Source organism: Homo sapiens, chromosome 17 (assembly GCF_000001405.40).
Source record: "Homo sapiens chromosome 17, GRCh38.p14 Primary Assembly".
In the NCBI taxonomy this organism is placed as follows: domain Eukaryota; kingdom Metazoa; phylum Chordata; class Mammalia; order Primates; family Hominidae; genus Homo; species Homo sapiens.
Genome location: NC_000017.11, coordinates 46,139,133 through 46,162,950, shown reverse-complemented (window position 1 = coordinate 46,162,950; position 23,818 = coordinate 46,139,133). Strand labels below are relative to the sequence as shown.

At 39.6% G+C, this 23,818-nt stretch overlaps 1 protein-coding gene and 1 long non-coding RNA gene across 31 annotated transcripts in view, besides 3 other annotated features; both read left to right on the top strand.

The window, feature by feature from the left end:
- The window catches only part of KANSL1 (KAT8 regulatory NSL complex subunit 1), a 195,452-nt gene that overhangs the window by 62,417 nt on the left and 109,217 nt on the right, over nt 1–23,818 (top strand). The window contains exon 4 of one of the 30 annotated variants that reach the window (XM_047435801.1): nt 426–474. The exons of the other annotated variants lie outside the window; for them this stretch is intronic. Coding sequence (XP_047291757.1) covers nt 426–474 — 49 coding nt within the window. The remainder of the gene's footprint in view (nt 1–425; nt 475–23,818) is intronic. 30 annotated transcript variants of the gene reach the window in all.
- Nucleotides 481–12,023, top strand: LOC107985027 (uncharacterized). Its single transcript, XR_001752923.1, has 2 exons — nt 481–1,484; nt 9,985–12,023. It is a non-coding gene; the product is annotated as an uncharacterized LOC107985027 (long non-coding RNA).
- Nucleotides 13,343–13,842: an enhancer, noted in NCBI's record as "H3K4me1 hESC enhancer chr17:44226475-44226974 (GRCh37/hg19 assembly coordinates)". NCBI's record gives its function as "activates a minimal SCP1, AML or CMV promoter by ChIP-STARR-seq in naive H9 embryonic stem cells {active_cell/tissue: H9 hESC(naive)}" and the evidence as "EXISTENCE:reporter gene assay evidence [ECO:0000049][PMID:30033119]".
- Nucleotides 13,843–14,344: an enhancer, noted in NCBI's record as "H3K4me1 hESC enhancer chr17:44225973-44226474 (GRCh37/hg19 assembly coordinates)". NCBI's record gives its function as "activates a minimal SCP1, AML or CMV promoter by ChIP-STARR-seq in naive H9 embryonic stem cells {active_cell/tissue: H9 hESC(naive)}" and the evidence as "EXISTENCE:reporter gene assay evidence [ECO:0000049][PMID:30033119]".
- Nucleotides 18,922–19,122: a silencer, noted in NCBI's record as "peak2868 fragment used in MPRA reporter construct". NCBI's record gives its function as "represses an SCP1 promoter by STARR-seq MPRAs in K562 erythroleukemia cells {active_cell/tissue: K562}" and the evidence as "EXISTENCE:reporter gene assay evidence [ECO:0000049][PMID:32103011]".

Genomic DNA, 23,818 nt, shown 5'->3' with positions numbered 1-23,818 from the left:
GGGGCTTTGCTGCTCATTGAGGAAACAAGACATGCTAAGGTCCTGGAAATGGAAGGTGCTTGACTCTCAAAGAACAGAGCAAAGTATAGTGTATTTTACAAGTAGTGAGAAATGAGACCAGAGAGGTAGCTAGTTGCCAGATCATACAGATGGCCTTGTTGATTATATAAAGTTAAAATTTTTATTGTGAAGCCATTGACATGGCTTACATGATTTGTATTTTTCAGACCCCGCTTGTGTGGAGAAGGGGAATAGAGGTGAATTTAGGCTAACCAGTTAGCTGAATGGTGGACTCAGCCTTTGGCAGGAAAGATTTAAGAGAATTGGTTATTGGAAGTAGGGGTGATGAGGGCTTGTGGCTGATTGCATGTGGTGAGCAAAAGGGAAGAGGTGCCATGGGTGATTCCCAGATTTTTGTTTGGCAGGGGTAACTACATTGGATGGATATGTCAAGATGGAGAAGGAGCAGATGAGGTAGGCATTCATTAATTTTTATTTAAATATTTTCCTTTGTTGGGTATACCTGGAGTGTCCTTTGTAGAGCCCCCGATTAGGCTCTGTCAGTGTGATAAAACAAATAGTTTTAACTAGAAAAGGGAAAGCATGGGTCCACATTCTGTTATAAATGGATGGTACTTTAATTCATTTCCCCACCTCCCTAAACATGGACCAAAGTGGACTAGATTATTTTGCAAGCTGGGTAGAAATTCATGCCTAAGGTCATGCCCTTTCATGTTTACCAGTGAATTATCTTTCTCCAATTTTCTATTGTGCATCTGGGAAAATTATGCTTACATATCCAATGTAAAGAAAACATTGAGTTTATATAGATTTGAAACCAAGGGGGTTTAGTATATAGTAAACATAAGAATAAATCTTACCAGTTTTGATTCTCATTAGTTAAGGCTTTGTGGCAACTGTGTCCTGTTTGATTTTATATTTCTATAAGTGTGAAGAAAGGTTTCTTGTACCATGGTAGACAAAATTGCTTTGAAATTATTTTAAGCCTGATGAAAGTTGTAGGGTCTGCTCTGCAAGCAGAATATACTGAAAATTTGCTATTAAATTGTGAATGTTGTGGTTTGCTCTAGCAGCCTATTTAGTAGCATTGTAGTAATCATGTAGATTATATTCAGAACTCAGGTAAGAGGAATTGTAGAGAAAATTGTTTTGGGGGCGGGGGAAATGGGGAGATTGGGGAATGGCAACTAGAGAGAGGTGTCATAGTTCATTTAAAATCATGTTCTTATAAGTTGTTTTACTTAGGCCTAAAAGAATAGAGGGCATGTGCCAGGGAATTGAATACCCTTGTATATGTAGTGCCATTTCCTTGCTCTCCCTTTAATTGCTATTTCCGGTTTGTTTCTCAGGTACTTACAAGAGATGTATCCTGGGAAGAAACAGGGTGGCAGAGTTTAGGGCCTTTGGGACTGAATTAGTCTTAAACCTGAGAACCCAGGAGGATTTTGACCGAACTGATTTGGGTGAGCTAGGAAACAAGGTTTTTTTTTTTTTGAGACAGAGTCTCGCTCTGTCGCCCAGGCTGGAGTGCAGTGGCATGACCTGGGCTCACTGCAAGCTCCAACTTCCAGGTTCACGCCATTCTCCTGCCTCAGCCTCCCAAGTAGCTGGGACTGCAGGCGTCTGCCACCACACCCGGCTAATTTTTTGTATTTTTTTTTTTTTTTTTTTTTTTTTTTAGTAGAGGTGGGGTTTCATCATGTTAGCCAGGATGGTCTCGATCTGCTGACCTCGTGATCAGCCCACCTCGGCCTCCCAAAGTGCTGGGATTACAGGTGTGAGCCACTGTGCCCTGCTGGGAACAACGTTTTTAACCAACTTTGCCTAAGCAGACAACAGAGTTGAGACATTCTGGTAGAGAAATAATAGCCCACATTTGTTGAATTGTTTTTAGCTCTTTAGTTATAAAGAGCTTTTTACAAATTAATTTATGTAATCCTCCAACAGTACAATGAGATAGATAATTTTAATTTTACAGACTCAAACTGCAGAATGGAAAGTTTAAGTAACTTAATGTCAAACAGCTAATAAGAGATCAAGATAATAATCTAGGCTCTTTACCTATCTCCTGGGCATAAGCACTAGCTTTTTTAGTGTAAACAGAATCAAATTGTTCATTAGATTTGGTTGATGAAAAGAGGTCTACCAACCATCATGTAAAATAATGGCATTTATGTTTATATTCAGAAGACTATTATACATTAATTTGGTAATACGTATTTTTTGAGGAAAGGTATAATGGCCATATGTATCTTAACCAGATACATCCTTAAGCCTACAATATGAGTAAAAGAAAATTACTCATTTTCTTTTGTGGAGTAGAAGTTGGATGGGTTATATGGGCGTGATGCCTCTCTCCTGTAATTCCAGCACTTGGGGAGGCCAAGGCGGGCAGATCTCTTGAGCCCAGGAGTTCTAGAGCAGCCTGGGTAACATGGCGAAACCCCTTCTCTACAAAAAAAAGTAGCCAGGCGTGGTGGCATGCGCCTATAGTCCCAGCTTACACGGGAGGCTGAGGTAGGAGGATTGCTTTGAGCCTGGGAGGTAGAGGTTGCAGTGAGTCGAGATTGCACCACCGCACTCCAGCGTGAGCAGCAGAGTGAGACCTTGTCTTAAAAAAAGTTGGATGGGTAGAGGAGGGACATTTTGCTAGGGCAGACTAACATCTAGGAAGTGGTTGAAGTTATTTTTTTTAAAAAAGGAAGAAAAGAAAGGAATTAGTATTTATTGATCACACCTTTCTGTATGTTAGGTGGTTTAGGTTTGTTGTCTTTAAATCTTCCATATGATGATGATACCCTGTTTTACAGTTGAGACCCAAGACTATAGATATGTTAAATAATTTGCTTGTGGTCATACATGTTCTATCTTCTGAATAGAAGATAACTCCTGGAACTGATAGAGAGAGGGCAGAAAAAAGATTCTATTTTGAGAAATGGAGCAACCTGAAGGCACATAGCTTTGCTGTTTGCTGTAACTCCTTTAGACAGCTCTCTGACCACACAGTACGTGGGTGGACACCAGCATTGACCAGGAGGGATGGTGGGAAGTTTAAATAGTTTTCCTTTACTGTAATAAACACTCTAGAGAAGTGAACTATTAAAGGTTTTTCCCCATCAAATGGCTAAATTAAACATTTTTGACATTCGAAAGGGATGATTTATATCTTATGTGGAAAAGCCCCAAACAACTATTTCCCCAGTTGCTGGAAAAGGAGCTCTTTTGAGTTATGAAGGTATTTTATGTTCTTTCTCCATTATTCTTAACTTGTGCTTACAGGTGAATTGTAAGCATGTGCTTTGTGTTTAGTATTTTCCTCAAGAAAACTCTTGCTGGTAAATCTAGTTACCATAGAACTTGAAAGGATATTGAAAGAATAGTTGAGGACTATCCTGATTGGTTTTCATCTACTTAGTCTGTATTTGTGTCATTTCAGTGTCTGAGTAGGTGGTTTGTGATTAACATTTCACATGTTATTTTTATTGATTTGGCAAGTACCAGAAAACTTGAAGGATGAACTAGAGGTTATTTTTCTTAGCATTTGTGGTATTAGTACTAAAAGGGGAGTAAGAGAGTAGAAAGAATTCTGGACAACTGTTAAGAATTGTTACATTTTGTCTACCTAGGCTCGAGTTCCTCACTTTTAAAATTAGGACTGTACTTTTTGGAAGAATATTGCTTGTTGTTTTGTGGTGGGACCAGGCTGTGATGGGAAAGGCTGTTGTCATAGGCATAGGCAGGCCTTTTGCTTTGCTGAGGTATAGTGAGCAGCCCGGTGACCCTCCATGTAGCCTGCATTGCATGCAGTTTCCACAGGGTCCATAGAGTTAGTGCAAAGCTCCAGCAGGCCTACTCACCTGCTTTTCTCATGAGGCAACCTGGGACCAGTGTGTCCCTGTAGTAACTGTAATTTTTTGTTGTGTTCACTTATTGCAGTGAAAAAAAAATCTGAGCGTAAGGTTCTGAGTGGACCTGGAAAGGGGTGGGTGTTGTAGTGAGAGACTGAAGACAAAGGCCTGTAACAGATGGGTATCTTTTTAGCTTAATCAAGCTATTGCTGGAGTGTTATGCTTCAGAAATAAGTCTCTTGGCCGGGTGTGGTGGCTTATGCCTGTAATCCCAGCACTTTGTGAGGCCAAGGCAGGCAGATCGCTTGAGGTCAGGAGTTTGAGACCAGCCTTGCCAACATGGTGAAACCTCGTCTCTACTAAAAATACAAAAATGAACCGGGTGTGGTGGCGGGCACCTGTAATCCCAGCTACTCGGGACGCTGAGGCAGGAGAATCACTTGAACCCAGGTGGTGGAGGTTACAGTGAGCTGAGATTGCTCCACTGCACTCCAGCCTGGGCGATAGAGCGAGACTCAGTCTCAAAAACAAACAAAACAAAAAATACAAAAATTGGCTGGGCATGGTGACACATGCCCGTAATCCCAGCTACTTGGAAGGCTGAGGTGCAAGAATCACTTGAACCTGGGAGGCAGATGTTGCAGTGAGCCGAGATCGATCGTGCCACCGCACTCCAGCTGGGCGACTGAGCGAGACTGTCTCAAAAAAAAAAAAAAAAGTCTCTAATGGAAAACAAAAATTTATCCCAATTCCCCCAACCCCTCCTCCCAAAAAGCAAAACAATAAAGAAGTTTTGTTATTCTTGCTTTTTTAAAAAGGAAAATAAAATGCTTTCATTATTTCCCAGAAACAGTTGATTTAAAAACTATTGCAGATTATAAAGTTCATTTATGTAGAACAAATAAGGTACTTAGTGCTTTTTGCACCGTCAAATGTCAAAGGCAGAATTTCAGTTACTGCTTTTTAGGTGCATAAAATTAGCATAGTTGAATACTTCATTGATTCATTTAGTTGCCTTTCATAGAATTTTACTCCAATAACAAAAAGATCTGGGGTTTTTCTAAAATTTTCTTCAGGTCTTGAGAGTTTTTAGCTGAATTGCTACAACTATTCTTTCTCTAGATTTCCAACTGGGCGAAAATGTTTTTCTTTTTAAATTGGCACTCTCCCAGCATATTTTTCCAGCAAGTATTCTTTGGGCACACCCTGTGCGTAGTGAATTTTTCAAGATCCTTATTCAAAAGGCTGGGAGGACAGGCCAGTCTTTTCTTTGTAAGATGAAAACAGAATGAAGCTTGCTTAAGACTCATTTTGCTTCTGCCCAACTGTATATGAAATTGATCTCATGCAAATACACTCAAGCATTACCAGAAGTAATTTGACTTGATAGTGTAAGTAGAAAAGCTAATTTAGTATTTGCAGGCGGTTTGCTTAGTGCAACAGGTGACCTCTCAATTGAGAATTCTTAATTTGTTCTCAATGATAACTTGATAGTAAGCAGGTCTCAGGTCCAAGAGTTGAGAAATGTGAGGTGACTTTGAAATTTTCAAGGTAATTGTACATTCAAGACATTGACATGATATGTATATATTTGGTTTTACATTTTATTAGGTGCTGAGGTTGTCATTTCCATAATGTCCAAAGCAATGTTAGATTATTTAAGCTTCCATGGTTTACTGATGGTATTACTAGATGAGATAAATGCCTTTAATTTCATCCTTGAATGGTAAGATTGGCTGACTAATTTAGGGAAGGATAAGGTACAGAATTGCTCTTGGGTGTTTCCTAGCAGGCTGGCCTTCCAAGAGCAATAGCTTAATGTTTGTTCCTTTAATAAGTAGTACTTAAACAGTGATCAGGGGAGTTACCATAATTGGTAATCTGAATGGAAACTAAAATGTGTCATCATTGAGGATAGTCAGAAGTGTCCTTGTGGCAGTCCTAGAAAAGGGGTTCCAGAATTTTCCGAGCAGAGAAAAATATAAACATTTTCAAGGTTCTAATTATTTGGAGACTAGCCTTTCAGGATCATTTATCACCAAGATTAACCTTGCCACCAAAGGGCAAGGAAACACTTCTCTGGTGGTTAGATCAGGAATGATGAAAACACTTAAGAAGAATTGAAAACTTGGTTCCTGTCTTCAATGAGTAATTTATGTGACTGATTTTTTTTTTTTTTTTTGGAGATAGAGTCTCACTCTGTCACCCAGGCTGGCGTACAGTGGTGTGATCTCAGCTCAGTGCAACCTCCACCTCCCTGGTTCAAGCGATTCTCCTGCCTCAGCCTCCTGAGTAGCTGGGATTTCAGGTGTGAGCCACTGCTCCCAGCCTTCCCCTCCACTTTCAAGTAAAAGAGGAAGCATTAGAATTAGACATTGTGGGCCGAGTTCCTTGGGAGGATCCCTTGAGCCCGGGAGTTCTAGACCAGAATAGGCATCATAGCGAGACCCCGTCTCTGTTTCGTTTTAGTATTTTAAATAAAAATTAAAAAACAAGAATTAGGCATTGTGTACTAAGTATTAGATACATGGTACAGGCATTAAATGCTGAAATCTTAGGAGGAGGGAGTGGTTAGAGGGAAGGATTGACTGCTGTAGGCTGAGGTGATAGGAAGACCTGAGAAGAGATGGATCTAGGGTTAGGAGTTTACATTCCAGTGCAGGAGTTCTCCATATAAACACTATCAGATACTGACTTTCTGGATGATCTGGAGTATTCTTTGTTAATGTTTTTTTGAGACAGAATCTCGGTCTGTCGCCCAGGCTGGAGTACAGTGGTGCCATCTCGGCTCACTGCAACCTCTGCCTCCTGGGTTCAAGGGATTCTCTTGCCTCAGCCTTCCAAGTGGCTGGGATTACAGGCATGAACTACCATGCCCGGCTAATTTTGTATTTCTAGTAGAGATGGGGTTTCACCATGTTGGTCAGGCTGGTCTTGAACTTTTGACCTCAGGTGATCCGCCCACCTTGGCCTCCCAAAAGTGTTGGGATTACAAGTGTGAGCCACTGTGCCCGCCTATCTGCATATTTTTAAACTACTTAGGAGGAGAAGTTTTTTTCTGATATTTACAAGGTATTTCCCCCAGCTTTTGTCATTTGAGTAATAGCTATCACAAGAAAGGATTGTTCTTAGAGTATGTTTTCTTTTGAGAGATAGGGTTTCACTCTATCACCCAGGTTGGGGTGCAGTGGCGTGATCATAGCTTACTACAGCCGAAGACTCCTGGGCTTAAGTAATCCTCCTGTGTCAGCCTCCCAAAGTGTTGGTATTATAGGTGTGAGCCACTGCACTTAGCCTGTAATATCTTTTAAATAGTTTTTTTTTTTAATAGACTGTAGGAACTAGAGTGTTATGCTCCTCTTCTGTGTTTATGTGGTTTTTCCAAAAATGAATGTTTTTTAGGCAGGTTTTCTTAACAGAGGCACCATTAACCTTTTGGGACTAATAATTATTTGTCATGGGAAGCTATTCTGTGCACTGTAAGAATGCCTGATGGCGTCTCTGGCCTCTACCCCCTAAATGCCAGTAGGACCTTCCCTCACCCTAGTTGAGACAACAAAATTTTTCCAGACTTTATTATATGTGCCCTTTTGGGGGTTGGGGTAAGGTCAAAATAATCCCCAAGGCTGGGAGCAGCGGTTCACACCTGTAATCTCAGCACTTTGGGAGGCCGAGGTGGGCGAATCATTTGAGGCCGGGAGTTCGAGACCAGCCTGGCCAACATGGCGAAATCCTGTCTCTACTAAAAATAGAAAAATTAGCTGGGCATGGTCGCACACGCCTGTAGTCCCAGCTACTTGGGAAGTTGAGGCAGGAGAATCGCTTGAACCCGGGAGGTGGAGGTTGCTGTGAGCCGAGATGGCAACACTACAGCCTGGGCAATAGAGCAAGACTCCATCTCAAAAAAAAAAAAAAAAAAAAAAAAATCCCTGGCTGAGAACTATTGGATTAGGGCCTCCTGTACCTATCTTTGAGGGGGAAAGGATGCTACCATCAACTTTTCTGAATGCCAGGAATGCCTTTTAGTATAGTTATTTCACTTACTATTTTATAGCATATTTTAATTGTATAGTAAGCATTGTGTCTGTTTTATGGTAAGGAAACTAAAATTGAGAGATTAGGCTGCTCGTGGTGGCTTATACCTTGTAATCCCAGTACTTTAGGAGGCCAGGACTTTGAGGCCAGTGTGGTCAACATAGCAAGACCCCATCTCCATTAAAATAATCATAAAATAATAAAAGGGAAAGATTAAACCTGGAGATGGCATCATATAAACCATGTATAATATGGGTTACTTATGCTCTGATTGTTTACTCCTTCCCCCCACCACACCCTCTCATTTCTTTGTCCCAGCTCTAAGAAAAGCATACAATATCCTTTTCCTGTATTCTGGTACTGTTTAAGGCTTTGCAGTGAAGATGGTTTGGTGAGTCAGACCACTTTTAAAGAGGAAATTCTACCCTTCCCTTCATTCTCTCTCTTTTTATAATTGTGGTGAGAGCCCGGGCACGGTGGCTTAGGCCTGTAATCCCAGTGCTTTGGGATGCTGAGGCAGGGGGATCACTTGAGCTCAAGGAGTTCGAGACCAGCCTGGGCAACGTGGTGACGCCCATCTGTACAATAAACCACAAGAAATGAGCTAGATGTTGTGGTTCACACCTGTAGTCCCAGCTACTCGGGAAGCTGAGATGGGAGGATCACTTGAGCCTGGGAGGTCGAGGCTGCAGTGAGCATTGCAAGTAGAAATTCTTAAAGTGCAACCCTGAGGGGGGAATATCCTCCCTCATTTGTCAAGGGACAAATCAGAATGTTAGCATTTCCCCACTTCCCTCATTGCCAGTAACGTATAATTTAAGCATGTGGATATGCCAGTCAGCTTTCCACAGCTTAACTGGGGTGGAGAGAGGTGTGCGAACCAGTGCTTTGTTCTTTCTTGTCTTTTTCCCCTTACTTTTGTACTCCCACTCCTGCCAAACTAGACATCGTTTTATCCTGGTGTGTTCATTAACCTCTACTCCAAAAATTAAGTGTGGTTAAGGGAGTGAGGTCGATTTCAAAATGCTGCATCTGATTTAGAGGGGGGTATAGTTGAGTGAAGAACTAGGCACTGAAGCAGCAGCTCATGAGGAGAGTGTTTTCTCTTTATTTAAAGCCCTTACATATCGAGGCATCTGGTGTTCATGAAATAGTCTGTTGTGCTGTTCAACTTTTTCACTCTTTTCTTACCTGACTTAGACAATTAACTCCTAGGGCTGGGTTTTCCCTCCACATTGCGATTCCTTCAGGGTCAGATTGTCTTAGTTTCTCTCTCTTCTTTGTATTGATACTTTATTTTTTTGGTGCTTCTCATTTCTTCAAATGTAATGGAATGAGGGGACTCAGACTTTTTCTGGTTTGATAATCTAGTGTATAAATGACCTGGTCTTTTGATGGTTCATGAAATCTTTAACTCCGTCACCTCCAAGTAGCCAGCCCTTCCATGTAGTCTTCATTTCCTATACTAGTGTTCTGTTCCTATTACATAAAAGTCATGTACACGAAACATTTTGTAAACAGCCAGTGGGGTTTTGTATCCCATGCTGTTCTGTTTTCATTTCCAGCCCACATTTTGGGAATATGTTTCTGTGGCTTTATTTATATATTTACTAGTTAATCCCAGAACATTTATTTCCACAGGCTTTTGATAAAAGATAAAGTTACTAATAAGAGTGTACTATTTTACCGAGTAAAACGACATAGAAAGCTAAGGATTTCCTTGTGCCCATCTTTCTAGAAGGGAAATTTAAAGAGGGCTCTTCCAGCTCTAATAGTTTTATAATTATTCGTGTCTCCTAAGCCTGATCTTTCCCCACAACTAAAATGCGTTGATGAGCTGCGTACCTGCATGTATGTCTTTGTTTGCACTTTCCTAGTAAATTAACTTACTCAACAAGGGAACTGAATAATACTTTAAAAAAAAATCCTTGTGATATGACCAGGAAGTCAAGCCACAGAGGCTTCATAGCTAGGAGCATGGCTGTCTTCCCTAAGCCCTTTAGATTTTAAAAAATACTGCTTTAAGTTTGTAATGTTTTATGTCAGATGTGCTCATGACCTGGTGCTTCTGTGTCAGCAGGTATCTCCATACAGCCAAGAATAAAGAAAGAAAGGGATAGATGGAATGAGTTTCATCGTGATTCTAAGTATCCAGGAATAATTTAAAATTATTTATCACTGTGGATTTAAGCATCTGGATTTATTTATTTTACAAATACTTAACATTTTGTTGTTTTGCTCTCTATCTTGCTAATCCCTTTTTTAAAAGGGCTACTTGGATGAAGGTATAAAAACCAGTAACTTATGAAACCCTCGGTTGGTATCAGTGAATTCGCTTATTACTCAATGTTTGCTTGTTTGACTTCAAAAAGAAAACAATTTACCACCTGTGTCAGTCTGACACCTGCTCTTTTCAAACCCTTTTGACATGATCTAAATAAATCTCTGAAATCCCCCCCCCCCCTTTGTGTCTATTGTCAGTATTAGTTTCACCTAAATTCAGGGCCTGTCATCCTGTGTAACAGTTGAGGCTAAATGAGGACATTAATTGGTGGAAATGTGTTGCTTCAAAGGCATTTTTAGGAATAAAACTACAAAGAGCTTCATAGTTGTAATATAGCTGATTCGTCTTCAAAAAGTATTCTGTTGTTTTCTTGATAGTTTTAGGTTTTTATAAGTAAGTTATTAAGAAGTGAATGTTTGTCTGAAATACGTTGTTTTAAGTGAAAGGTGTTATTTGTGTTCTGGGAGTAAGCTCTAGAATCTCAATGTCAGGTTAGTATTTAAGTGGAGGTAGAGCTACTAGTTTTTGTTTAAAATGTTTTTATGATACAGAATTATTCAGGAACTTGTGTATTGATCTGTTTGCCAGCAATGCCAATTCCCTCAAAATTCATAGTTTTCAATTTTTGTTTTCTTCCCACTGTAAGTACCTTTGAGGACTCTCACCCAGTTAACATTTGTTGTGTTCAAATTGCATGGTTCTCAACTTTTGCTATACACTAGAATCACCTGGGTAATTTTTTAGAAGTCCTGTGGTTGTACCACAGATGAGAAAAAATACACCCTCTGGGATGGGATCCAAGCATCTGTATGTTTAAAATTCACCAGGAGATTCCATGATGTAGCCAGAGTCATAAATCACTGGTCTAGGATGTTTTTCAGATTAGGGACCATTTAAAGAAAAGCTGTAGATTTTCCTTCCAGAAACATGGGTATTAATGATTCCCTAAAGCCCCAAATTAAGAACCCCTGTTCTAGGAGTAGCCTCAACATGCTAGATTTAATTGTAAGCAGCTGGTTTAAGAAATTATGTAAGTTGCAATGATGAATATTCCTCGTCACTCACAAATGTTATTCATCAATTTAAAAATTAATATGTATCAAGTACTCAGTGTGTTCCAGGCATGATTTTAGTTACAAGGAGTACAGCAGCCAATAAGATATTACAGTTTTCAGGGAGTTTTATCCTACTAGGGAAGACAGATAAGTAAATAATGACCGAAGGCTAGTTAACAAGTGCTATAAAGAGATATAAAAAGGAAAGAGCCTAAGGAGATTGAAAGTGATGGTTATGGGAGAGAGATGTCTATATTAATAGGGTGGTCAGGGAAAGCCTCTCTGAGGAGGTGACAGTTTGAATGAGATCTGTATGAAGTGTGTGAGCAAGACCTGTGAAGATCTTGAGGAAGAGCATTCAAGGTGTAGAGAACACTTGCAAAGGCCCTAAGATGGGACTGAGCCCGGTTTGTTGGATTTTCATCAGTAAGCCCGGGGTGGCAGGAGCATGCATGCTGATCCAGGTATAGAATGAGTGGTAGAAGGTGAGATCAGGAGCCCTGTAAGCTGTTGTAAGCATCGTTGTTTTAATTTGGTAGAAACTCAGTTATAACTCATTCTTAAATATTTAGCTTTATGCTTAAAATAATTTAGAAATAACCTTGGACTTCCATCTTTTTAGAAATAGCTGGAAGGTTAGCACTCAGTATGTTGTATTACTTCTCTGTGAAAGGATCTACAGTAGACTGAACTTGTCTATGTTATGAGACTGCTCATGTCTTTATTCTTTATATTCATAATGCTGAACACAAGATACTCGTGTTTTTTTTTTTTTTTTTTGACAGAATAGGGATCTTGCAGTTAACTTAGCTGTTCTTAAATTTCTGTTTATAAAAGCCATAATGCATAATAATTTACTGTAGTCGTTATTCCTAGTTTTCCCAGGTAGGCAGTGGTAACATCTGTTTCACAAGATAAGGAAGCAGAAATTTAACAACAATGGCAGAATCAGGATGTCAATCTTGTCCTTTTTTCCTTTTCCCACTTTGCCATGCTGCCCTCTGGGTAATAAGATGGAGACTAATTTTTGAAGGCTTAATTTGTTGAGCCAGTGTCATTAGTTTTTAGGTAACATTTTAATACAGAATAAGTGTGTCTTGGTCTTATTAACAGTGCTATGTTATGTAAAGGAATTTAGTTGTAGGAATATTTTCTTTGAAACAATAATACCTGTTTTTTTATCTCTTGATTGTAAAGTGCTGTGGGAAATACAGAGATGACTTGTAAATAAATTCTGCCCACAGGCTTAGGGGATCTAAGATATAATTCACTGTGGTAAAAGATACAAAGCAATCATTGTCAGAAAAGATACAGATTAAGTGCCATAGAAGTTCTGCTGAAGAAGAATTTCTGGGTAAAGGGAAGGAGACTTCTTAGAGGATAGATGGATTTTAGTTCTAGGTGGTAGTGTGGGAAGCAAGGGAGATGTAGGTGTTTAGAGGGAAAGAAGAAAGGACATTCTGTATACAAATTGAGCAAAGGTTTGGAATTAGAGCAGTATAAGCAGCCACAATCATGGAATACAATTTGGAATCTAGTATGAGAAAAAGGAAATGACCAAGGTTAATGAAGATTATACTCATGGAGGAAGCCTTTGAGTATCAGGCCAAGGAATGTTAAGTTCTATTTTTTTTTTTTTTTTGGTAAGGAAAGTGACTTTTATTTTTTATTTATTTATTTATTTTTGAGATGGAGTCTCGCACTGTTGCCCAGGCTGGGGTGCAGTGGTGCGATCTCAGCTCACTGCAAGCTCCACCTCCTGGGTTCACACCATTCTCCTGCCTCAGCCTCCCGAGTAGCTGGGATTACAGGCGCCCGCCACCACACCCGGCTAATTTTTTTTTTTTTTGTATTTTTAGTAGAGACGGGGTTTCATCATCTCTACTACTAGCCAGGATGGTCTCGATCTCCTGACCTCGTGATCCACCCGCCATGGCCTCCCAAAGTGCTGGCATTACAGGCGTGAGCCACCGTGCCCAGCCAAGGAAAGTGACTTTTAAATCAGAAATCACATGATCTGTGATGGAATTTAGGAAAGTTGATATTAGTTGGTTGGATTAGCACAATCAACAGACTATGCCCTGTATGCCAAATGCAGTCTAAGGCAAGTTTTTGTAAGTAAAGTTTTATTGGAACACAGTCATACTCATTCACTTGAATATTGTCTGTGGCTGCTTTAGTACTATAATGGCAAGAGTTGTGTAGTTGAGACGGAGACTGTGTGGCCTGCAAAGCCTAAATATTTGCCATCTGGCCCTTTACAGAAAAAGTTTGCCAACCCCTGGATTAGAGGAGTGGAGGCAGAAATCCTGTTCATTGTTGTTCTGGTTAGGGTATAAACCCATGCCTTCCTGTCAAATGAAATGAAGGCCAGAATTGTGATAGCCCTAGTAGAAAAAAAGAGGCAGGCTGGGCGCAGTGGCTTACGCCTGTAATCCCAGCACTTTGGGAGGCCGAGACGGGCGGATCACAAGGTCAGGAGATCGAGACCATCCTGGCTAACACGTGAAACACCGTCTCTACTAAAAATACAAAAAATCAGCTGGGCGCAGTGGTGGGCGCCTGTAGTCCCAGCTACTTGGGAGGCTGAGGCAGGAGAATGGCGTGAACCCGGGAGGTGGAGCTTGCAGTGAGCCAAGATCATGCCACTGCACTCCAGCCTGGGCGATAGAGCGAGACTCCGTCTCAAAAAAAAAAAAAAAAGAAAAAAAGAGGCAAGAATGGGTGAGATAAAATAATTTTTTGAATTTGGTAACTTGATTAGGTTAGGAGTCTAGGGAGAGGGGAGGAATTTTTTTTTTTTTTTTTAAGTGTAAGCAACAGGCCAGGTACGGTGGTTCATGCTTGTAATCCCAGCACTTTGGGAAACCGAGGTGGGCAGATTACTTGAGATCAGGCGTTCCAGACCAGCCTGGCCAACATGGTTAAACCCTGTCGCTACTAAAAATACAAAAAAAAATTAGCAAGGCATGGTGGGTGCTTGTACCCAGCTGTTCAGGAGGCTGAGGCAGGAGAATCAATTGAACCCAGGAGGTAGAGGTTGCAGTGATCTGAGATTGTGCCACTATACTTCAGCCTGGGCGACAGAGGGAGACTCCCATCTCAAAAAAAAAAAAAGGTAAGTGAAGGAGGATGGTGATTTGGGTTAGAAGAGGCTTTTAATTGTAAGCCATTCAGCATGTGAACTCGTAAAAATGACCTTATGTTAAATAATTAGTTCAGAGCGCTGATCTTGAGAGATAGGAACGTTTCCTGTTTTTGATAAATGATAGGTTACCCTTGTTTATGGTTAGGGGTGGGTTTTTGTCATGGTCCAACCAGGTGATAGTTATATATGTGAACATATTAAAATTGTTTTTAATGTTTAAATTCTAATCCTTAAAATGTGACAGAACTGATTTATGTTCCTCCTCTCCCAGTTCTCTTCAAATCATGAGAGTGACCCTCTTAAAAACTGCTTTCTTTCGGGGGAGCGGTTGTTGAGAAGAATCATGTAACTATGTAAAAAGCATGTCTGTTTGGTACACTATTTGCTAATGTCAGAAGTGTTAAATAGAAATAAAATTTCCACCATAGTAGCTAATTATTATTTAGTGTGTGTCAAAACTGTGTGCTAATTACTTTTTATAAACCATCGCCTTTAAAGTCTTATAACTTTTCTATGAAGTAGGACGTTTGTGTCCCTACCTCCTCTGTTTTACCATTGGGAAAACCAGGGCCCAGAACGAGTAACCACACAAGTTCCACAGCTACCAAGGTCAAGGTTATTTCTACCCTAAATACACATCTTTAAATTTTATATTCATCAACAACCTAGTACTTAAAAATTCAGATTCCTAAGCCTTTCAAGGGTTTTGCCTGTGATTCTATTTTTGATCTTTGTACCAAACTTCGAGAAAATACCGTCATATAGTCTTCTATTAACAGCAGTTGCCTCATGTGGAGAACACCTGAATTTTACTTACAACTTCTTCCAATGCTGACCCATTTTGATTTTTATAAACATTTTGAAATATTTGTTAAGTTGGTCAAGCAAGAGATAATGTGATTATGTAGTATCTTATCAGTTGAGATCTTTCTCTCTCTCTCTGCCTCTTTCTCTCTCGCTCTCTTTTTTTTTTTTTTTTTTTTTTTTAAAGAGTCTCACTCTGTCACCCAGGCTGGAGGGGTTAGTGGTATGATCTCTGCCCACTACACCCTCTGCCTCCTAGTCTCAAGCAATTCTTCTATCTCAGCCTCCCGAGTAGCTGGCACTACAGGCGCATGCTACCACATCTGGCTAATTTTTGTATTTTTTGTAGAGACAGGATCTTGCCACCTTGCCCACACTGGTCGTGAACTCCTGAACTCAAGTGATCCACCCACCTTGGCCTTCCAAAGTGCTGGGTTTACAGGCATGAGCCACCACCCCAGTCTGGTTGACGTTTTTCACCTCCTTCTCTTTACAGCATATTCAGAAATTTTAAACCAGTAATACGAAATACATATATTGGTTGATTTTTCTGTTGTATTTTAAGCATATTGACTTTTTAAATCGGATCATATTTTTGCATGCAAGTACTATGGCTTTTCAAGGTCATTCTGATTTGAAACAACACATTTCTTAGTCAATTCATTGGCTCTTTACCCCCTTTTAAAATTTTTTATTTTTTATGTGATTTATTTATTTACTTATTTTTAGTGATGGAGTCTCACTGTGTTGCTCAGGCTGGGCTCAAGCAGTTCTTCTGCCTCAGCCTCCTGTGTAGCTGGAACTACCTAAGGATGTGCACCACTGTGCCCAGCCAGATCTTCACCTTTTCCAAAAAAAGAAACATCTAAATGTGAAACCTTTTAGGCCTGTCAACTTCTTTTTTTTTTTTTTTTTTTTTTTTTGAGACGGAGTCTCGCTCTGTCGCCCAGGCTGGAGTGCAGTGGCGGGATCTCGGCTCACTGCAAGCTCCGCCTCCCGGGTTCACGCCATTCTCCTGCCTCAGCCTCCCAAGTAGCTGGGACTACAGGCGCCCGCCACTACGCCCGGCTAATTTTTTGTATTTTTAGTAGAGACGGGGTTTCACCGTTTTAGCTGGGATGGTCTCGATCTCCTGACCTCGTGATCCGCCGGCTTCGGCCTCCCAAAGTGCTGGGATTACAGGCGTGAGCCACCGCGCCCGGCCTCAACTTCTTGTGATAGACACATACAGAATTTTTCAGCTACTCTCTGCCTATGGGGTAGCCCTACCTTGCAGGAGCAGTCCAAAAAAAATTTTTTTTTTCAATTTAGGATCAGTGTAGAGGAAAGAGCCCTGGACTATCATAAGACTGAGTACCAGCTTGGCCAGTCAGTCACTTTGTGACCTTGATTAAGCTATGTAACCTTTTCAAATTGATTTCCCTCTCTGTAAATAGAGCTGATAAGATGGCTTGCCCTGTTTCCTGTGGTTTTTAAAGAGGATCAAATGAGTGCGTGAAAGTTCTCATGAAAACTAGACGTCTATTCAAATATGAGGTGGTGGTATTCTCAGAAGGTCATAGATGAATGATGCATTTATTTTAGTGCTTTTCACAGTTTAGTCTCAATACTGAGTGCTTACTGAGGGGTTGTATGGAGGCACACTAGTTGTTTCTTTAGGAGATGTCTTTAGCTGCTAGAGTAGAGAACAAAAGAATGAGTAAAGAGGCTTCAGAAAAGCTAGTATGGGCTGGCACGGTGGCTCACACCTGTAATCCCAGCACTTTGAGGGGGCCAAGGTGGGAGGATCACTTGAGGTCAGGAATTTGAGACCAGCCTAGCCAACATGGTGAAACCCTGTCTCTACTAAAAATACAAAAAATAGCTGAGTGTCATGGTCGACGCCTGTAATCCCAGCTACTCGGGAGGCTGAGGCAGGAGAATCCCTTGAACTCAGGAGGTGGAGGTTGGAGTGAACCAGGATTGCATCACTACACTCCAGCCTGGGTGACAGAGAGTCACTCCTCTCAAGAAAAAAACAAGGAAAAGCTAGTATGGATGGAGCACCTCCATGCTCATTTCCTAGAGCTTATGTTTTGTTGTTTGATTTCCTAGTTCATAACAGAAGGGGTTTTGTAAGCTGACCTAGCTTGACAATCCTTTTTGGGTTTTTTGGTTTCAAACATGATCTTATAAAATTATTTAGTGCATTAAAATGTAGACCCAAGTAGCTGCTTAGCTCTTGAGAAAAGGCTGTGTTTCAGTTTAGCACAACAGTGTTTTCAGGAAGATAACTGTTCTAGATAGCTCTTTTTTTCCAAAATTCTTGATTAAGGTTTGGGGAATTTAGAATTATCTCCAGCTATTAAATTATCAAATTGGTTAAGTAGAGGTAGAAAGTTTATTGCATAAATCAGTAGATTTGTCTTCCAAAGAAGCTTATGAAATAGAAAGGGCCAGGAGGTATACCTGTAGTTGAAATATGGGATGGGCCCATAGAGAGTGAGTTGGAAAATGATAGTAAGTGGTTGAACATGGACTTTAAAGCATGGCATGCTCTGAAGTCATATTAGAAAAGTCCTTTGCTTTCATGCAAAACTAGTCTCCGTGGCTTTTCATTGTGTAGATCGGGTTAAAAGCAGAATATAAGAAGCAAGTTTTTGGATGAGATGATAGAACTTAAGTAGTACTTGTCTGTCAATCCTAAAAGAATTATTTCTGGCCAAATCCTCTCCTCTAACCACCAAATAAGGAGCTTGACTTCATTCTCACTGTTAAGAATCAGAAACCCAGTTTAGAATATCCAACTCCTGGTGAACTTTTAAAAATTAATATATATCTTGATACTTTATAATCTATTGTGTGGCATCCAACGAATGTGAGGTAATCTGGGGAGTTAGAAATGCCTTGCATTTCGTGTGGAAAAGGTGTAGTCGTAAGTTTGGCCTGGGAAGGTTAATACTGTCTTTGCACATAGAAAGCTAAGGGCAGTGTCATCATCATTTGTTTGTGAGGAGGGGACTGAAAAAGCAAAATCATCACTACTAGCCTATTCTAAAGGATCTTAATCCCATTACATTTTTCAGATTTTTTTTTTATTATGTAGTATCCCCTGGATATAATCTTTTTGGTGAAGGGGGATGTCTCTAATTTCCACGTGGTACCCCCTGTCATATACAGGTTATGTATCTGGCAGTCTACAGCTGCAATTCATGGCTGTTTATAAAATTTCACCAGAACTTGTCCTGACGTCCTTTTACTTTTGTAAATGATTAGAAAAAATGCTGAGCCTGAGTATGTATTTTTGTATTAAGAGTTCATTTAGAGAGTCCCAGAAATTGGCAGAGTTGATTCAACTTTCTGTGGTTTAAATTTGAATATGCAATTAGTAGACTGCTGGTATTTCAGAAGTTTGTTGTTGCAGGCCTCTTGTACTGAGGAGGAAATCTGGAATTTCTTTTTCTATTTTAAATTAGCGTTCATTCAACAAACATTTTTTGATTATCCCTAGAGTTTTGGCACACGATAGGAAGTCTAGAACTGTGCAGTCTCACCTGGTCTCGCAAGTAATGGGAATTTTTAAACTATGCAGGACTTAGAAGGTATACCTTCCCTTCCTTCAGAATGATAGTAGTAGTATAGTTATATCTTTCCTTGACCTAATTATAATTTTTCGTTTTCCCCCCCATGACAAAGTAATAAAAACTTGTAAAAAACAAAGAGCCACAGACATGTGAAACTTGTTTTACCTCTGCTGTTACTTGGTCTGTTGTAATGCCACTGTAGAAAATACTCCCTTTGTTTGGGGTAGCATAGGAAACATGTGATTTGGAATCAGACTTCAAGTTCTAGCTCCATAATTTTACTAGCTCTGTGGTCCTCGGATATCACTCAACCAATCTGGACCTCAAATTTTCTCATCTCTTCTACTGGGAAGATAACAACTTCTTTTTTTTTTTTTTTTTTTTTTTTTGAGATGGAGTCTCGCTCTGTCGCCCAGGCTGGAGGGCAGTGGCGTGATCTCGGCTCACTGCAAGCTCTGCCTCCTGGGTTCACGCCATTCTCCTGCCTCAGCCTCCTGAGTAGCTGGGACTACAGGCGCCCGCCACAACGCCCGGCTAATTTTTTGTATTTTTACTAGAGACAGGGTTTCACCGTGTTAACCAGGATGGCCTCAATCTCCTGACCTCGTGATCTACCCGTCTCGGCCTCCCAAAGTGCTGGGATTACAGGCGTGAGCCACTGTGCCCGGCCTTTTTATTTATTTATTTATTTATTTTTTGAGACGAAGTTTTGCTCTTGTTGCCCAGGCTGGAGCACAATGGCGTGATCTCAGCTCACTGCAACCTCTGTCTCGCGGGTTCAAGCGATTTTCCTGCCTCAGCTTTCTGAGTAGCTGGGATTATAGGCGCCTGCCACCACACCTGGCTAATTTTGGTGTATTTAGTAGAGACGGGGTTTCACCATGTTGGCCAGGCTGGTCTTGAACTCCTGACTTCAGGTGATCCACCTGCCTCGGCCTCCCAAAGAAGATAATGACTTCTACAGAACTGCTGAATGGGTACATATATGTAAATATTCTCACCTGACTTCTGCTTTTCCCTTTATTTCACTGGGAGGTATTATATTTTTAGTGTATCTTACGGCCTTTGAGGACTTCTTAGTTTGAGTATATTTTAGCTGTGTGCATAAATGTCTTTACAGTGTACTTAAGGAGTTGGATTTTTAGAAACTTGCCATATTTAGAAATCTATTGGATTGAACATAGTTTGAAAAGCAAAGTATAAGTTAATTCCTTTACTATATACTTGTACTATTCTTTTCATGGACTTTCTGATGCTTGCTGTTTGTGCACATAGGCTTTGCTTTTTGTATTTATTTATATTGTATGAATCTAAGAATAAAAGAGAGTGTGAACAATTCAGAAGACTACAGATATATCTTGTTAGGTTGCTTTCCAAAAGGTTCCCAGTTGTAGTCATACCAGCAGTGTAACAAGCAGGTTTTTTGTTTAACCACACTCCAATTAGCATGGAGGATCCTTTAAAAATATTTGCTAAACTGATAAATAAAAAATACTATCTTTACTTAAATTTGCATTGGGAAAGTATTAGTGAAGTTGAACATTCTCATATGTTGTAATGTTTTGTTTTGTTTTGTTTTGATACAGTCTGCAGTCTTGCTCTGTTGCCCAGGCTAGAGTGCAGTGGCATAGTCGTAGCTTGCTGCAGCTTCAACCTCCAGGACTCAAGTGGTCCTCACAAGTAGCTGGGACCACAGGAGTGCACCCTTATGCCCCCCTTATTAAAAAATTTTTTTTTCTTTGTAGAGATGGGGTTTTGCTCTGTTGCCCAGGCTGGTCTCAAACTCCTGGACTCAAGCAGTCCTCCTGCCTTGGCCTCCCAAAGTGCTGTGATTACAGGCATGAGCCACTGTGCCAGGCTGTTGTAATGTTTTTATGATTCTTTGAAGCAGAGATATTTATCCTTTGGTAAAAATATTGGAGTCAAACTTGGATAAGTTAGAAATTATAAATTGTTTAAATTTTTGTCTGTTGATCTTTTGCCTTTAGCTTTCTTTCTCAACCTAAAATAGTAGAAATTCTTCATCCTTCCAGACACTAATAGGAGAATTTTAAATTTCCTTGTACATGTTTTTATTTTTGGAAACTACCCTTTTACCAATATAGTGAAACCTTGGCTCTACTAAAATACAAAAAAATTAGCCAGGTGTGATGGCACACACCTGTAATCCCAGCTGCTCGGGAGGCTGAGGCTGGAGAATCGCTTGAACCTGGTAGGTGGAGGTTGCAGTGAGCCAAGGTCATGCCACTGCACTCCAGCCTGGGCACGCAGAGTGAGACTTGTCTGAAAAAAAGAGAAATAAAGAAAGAAACTACCCTTTTAATTCATCAGAGCGTTTTTTGTTTCATAATACAAGGAAGTAAGTCCTCTCTAACCCTCTTTCCGAAAAAGCTGACTAGTATCTCAAAACCACTTAATTTTGTATTACTTTCTTTGGGACTTTGGAAGTTGCATAAGACATACAGGTTAACTTGTAAAGAATATCTTTCCAGAATATGGGTTGCCAAATTTTTACTAGATTCATTTAGGGTATTTTTTGTGAGGATACTGTATTCTTGGGCATTTTGTTCTTTTTAATTCCTTTTATGAGTATACACTCTCTGATTGTCTTTTCTTATTTCGCACCCAGATTTTCTGCAGTAGCTCAGTGGAATATTTTGAGCTTAGTGTAAGATAGACCGTTTGTAAATAAATGTAAAGTATTGCATAGAAGAATTTATTTGTCTTAGACCCTTAAGCAGCCCCTATGCTCCCCCAGTGAAGTTGATTTAGATGTGTAGACAACCTTGAGGAAAGAGAAGGGCTCTTCAGCTGCTCTCCTGTCTCCAAGTTTATCTAAATCTAGGGTTCTGTGAAATGATTTAGTCTTCAGTGTGGATTTTGCTCTGTGGGATAGCCTCTGAGTGTAAATGCTTCCTGTCCTGAGACCTACTGGGTTTAATGCATTTGCTTCACCTTGTTGTGTACACTCACAGGTGGGAATATAAAAGGATTTTCAGTTCAAAGAACCAGATAAACAATTTTCAATTTAAAATGTTTAGTTCTTACATAACTTAGTTTTGTAAAGAGAAATACAAGTACTTTAGTTAATTGTTGAGTACATTGTCTTTTTTTTTTTTTAAACAAACAGGATCAATCACTGTTCTGGGAATGCTTTATCTGAATTTCTGATCCTTTATGCATCCTCAGCATTTAACACATAAAGTAGCCCTGTGTATAACTTTTTGAGGAACTGCCTGTTTTCCATTTTATATTACCATTTTGTATTACCATGAGCGATATTTGTGGGTTCCATTCTCTCCACATTCTTGCCAATGCTTCTAATTGTCTTTTTAATTATAGCCATGCTAGTCAATGTGAAGTGGTATCTCATTGTGGTTTTGATTTTAATTTCTCTAATGGCTAATGATGCTGATAATCGTTTCAGGTGCTTAATTGGTCATTTGTATATCTTCTTTGGAGATCCTTTGCTCATTTCTAAAGTTATTTGGTTTTTAAAAATTGTTGAATTGTGTTTTTTGTATATATTCTGGAGACCAGTGTCTTGTCAAATAGATGATTTTCAGATATTTTCTTCCATTCTGTGGATTGTATTCTCATTTTCTTGATTATTATTTACAGAAGTTTTAAATTTTGATATAGTCCAATTTATGTTTTTTTTTTGTTTCTTTTGCTTTTTGTGTCACAGCATAAGAAATCATTGCCTAACCCAAGTTCATGAAGAATTTACTCCTATGCTTTTTTCCAGGAGTTTCAATGCTTACATTTAAGTAGGGCTTTGATCGACTTTAAGTTAGTTTTCTGTATGGTGTGAGGTAGGAATCCAATTTTATTTTGCCTGTGGATAGTGGATATTCAGTTGTCCTTGTACCATATTTATTGTAAAGACCTTTTTTTCCCCATCATGTGTTTTACAATGTAAATTTAGTTGTGGAAACTTATTTGCAGCTTAAAATTTTTTCCGGTTGTATAGATTACATATTTTTCTTCTTTATGCTACTCTTTATTTTCCAGATATCTGCAGTAAAATTTTGGCAACAAAAATATATATGTATGTATGTGTATGTGTATATGTGCACACCAGAGTGCTAACAGTGATTATTTCTGAGGGATGGGATGGGTTGGGATGGAGGAAGGGAAGGGATTACTTTCATTTATTTTTTAATACTTTGAAATTTTATTATGAGCTTTTTTGGTGTAGTAAAAAATAGAAAAAGTTTTTGTCTCTCTGGATTATGCTAATTTACTTGAATTATTGTGGTGGCCTGTAAACCAGGACCAAAAGTATTTTTAAAAATTTTTGCCTTTTCCCTTCCCTCTCTCCTTTTTCTTTTCTTTTCTTTCCCTTCATTCCTTCCTCTTTTTTTAAGGACAGTATATTCTGAGAATGCTTTCAGTTCGTGGAGGGTTAGTTTCCAAAGTCAGGGTGCTGTTGTAGGAGAGGGACGGAAACTAACAATCAGTTAGTGCCTATTTTTGGTATTATGCTTTTATGTACGTAATAATCCTTCACATTTTTACAGTTAGGCAACAGGAGTACTAGACATAATGATTGACTTCCCGAGGTCACAAGGCTTAGTAATTGGTTAAAACAAGAAGTAGAGTCAGGTTCATATCACTCCAAAGGCTGGGTTTCCTCTGCTTCTTCGTGCTGAGTAGTACATAATAAGCAATTCATTGAATGCTTGAGTACACATGTGCACATTTAGATGGGTGAGTAGTGGCACAGGTGGAGGAAATCTGGTGGAGAAATTGATGTTAGAGAGAAATAATGGAAAATGAGTAACTTCACCTTGAGGGAACTAAAAATTTTGAATTCAGTGAGAGCAAGTATTTAATTATATTTGTCATGGTATTTAAAGCATGTTAGTCATTATATACTTTTTTTTTTTTTTTGGCCTATGAAAGATTTTAAACTTGGTTCCAAAATGTGGTCAAATGCCCTGTGAGGATGAGAAAATAATGTCAATACTATGAGTTCACTTTAATAAAGGCTAAGAGGTAAATAGACATTAGTAAATAGACATTGGTTTCCTGTGATGTCCTAGGTATTGTTTTAG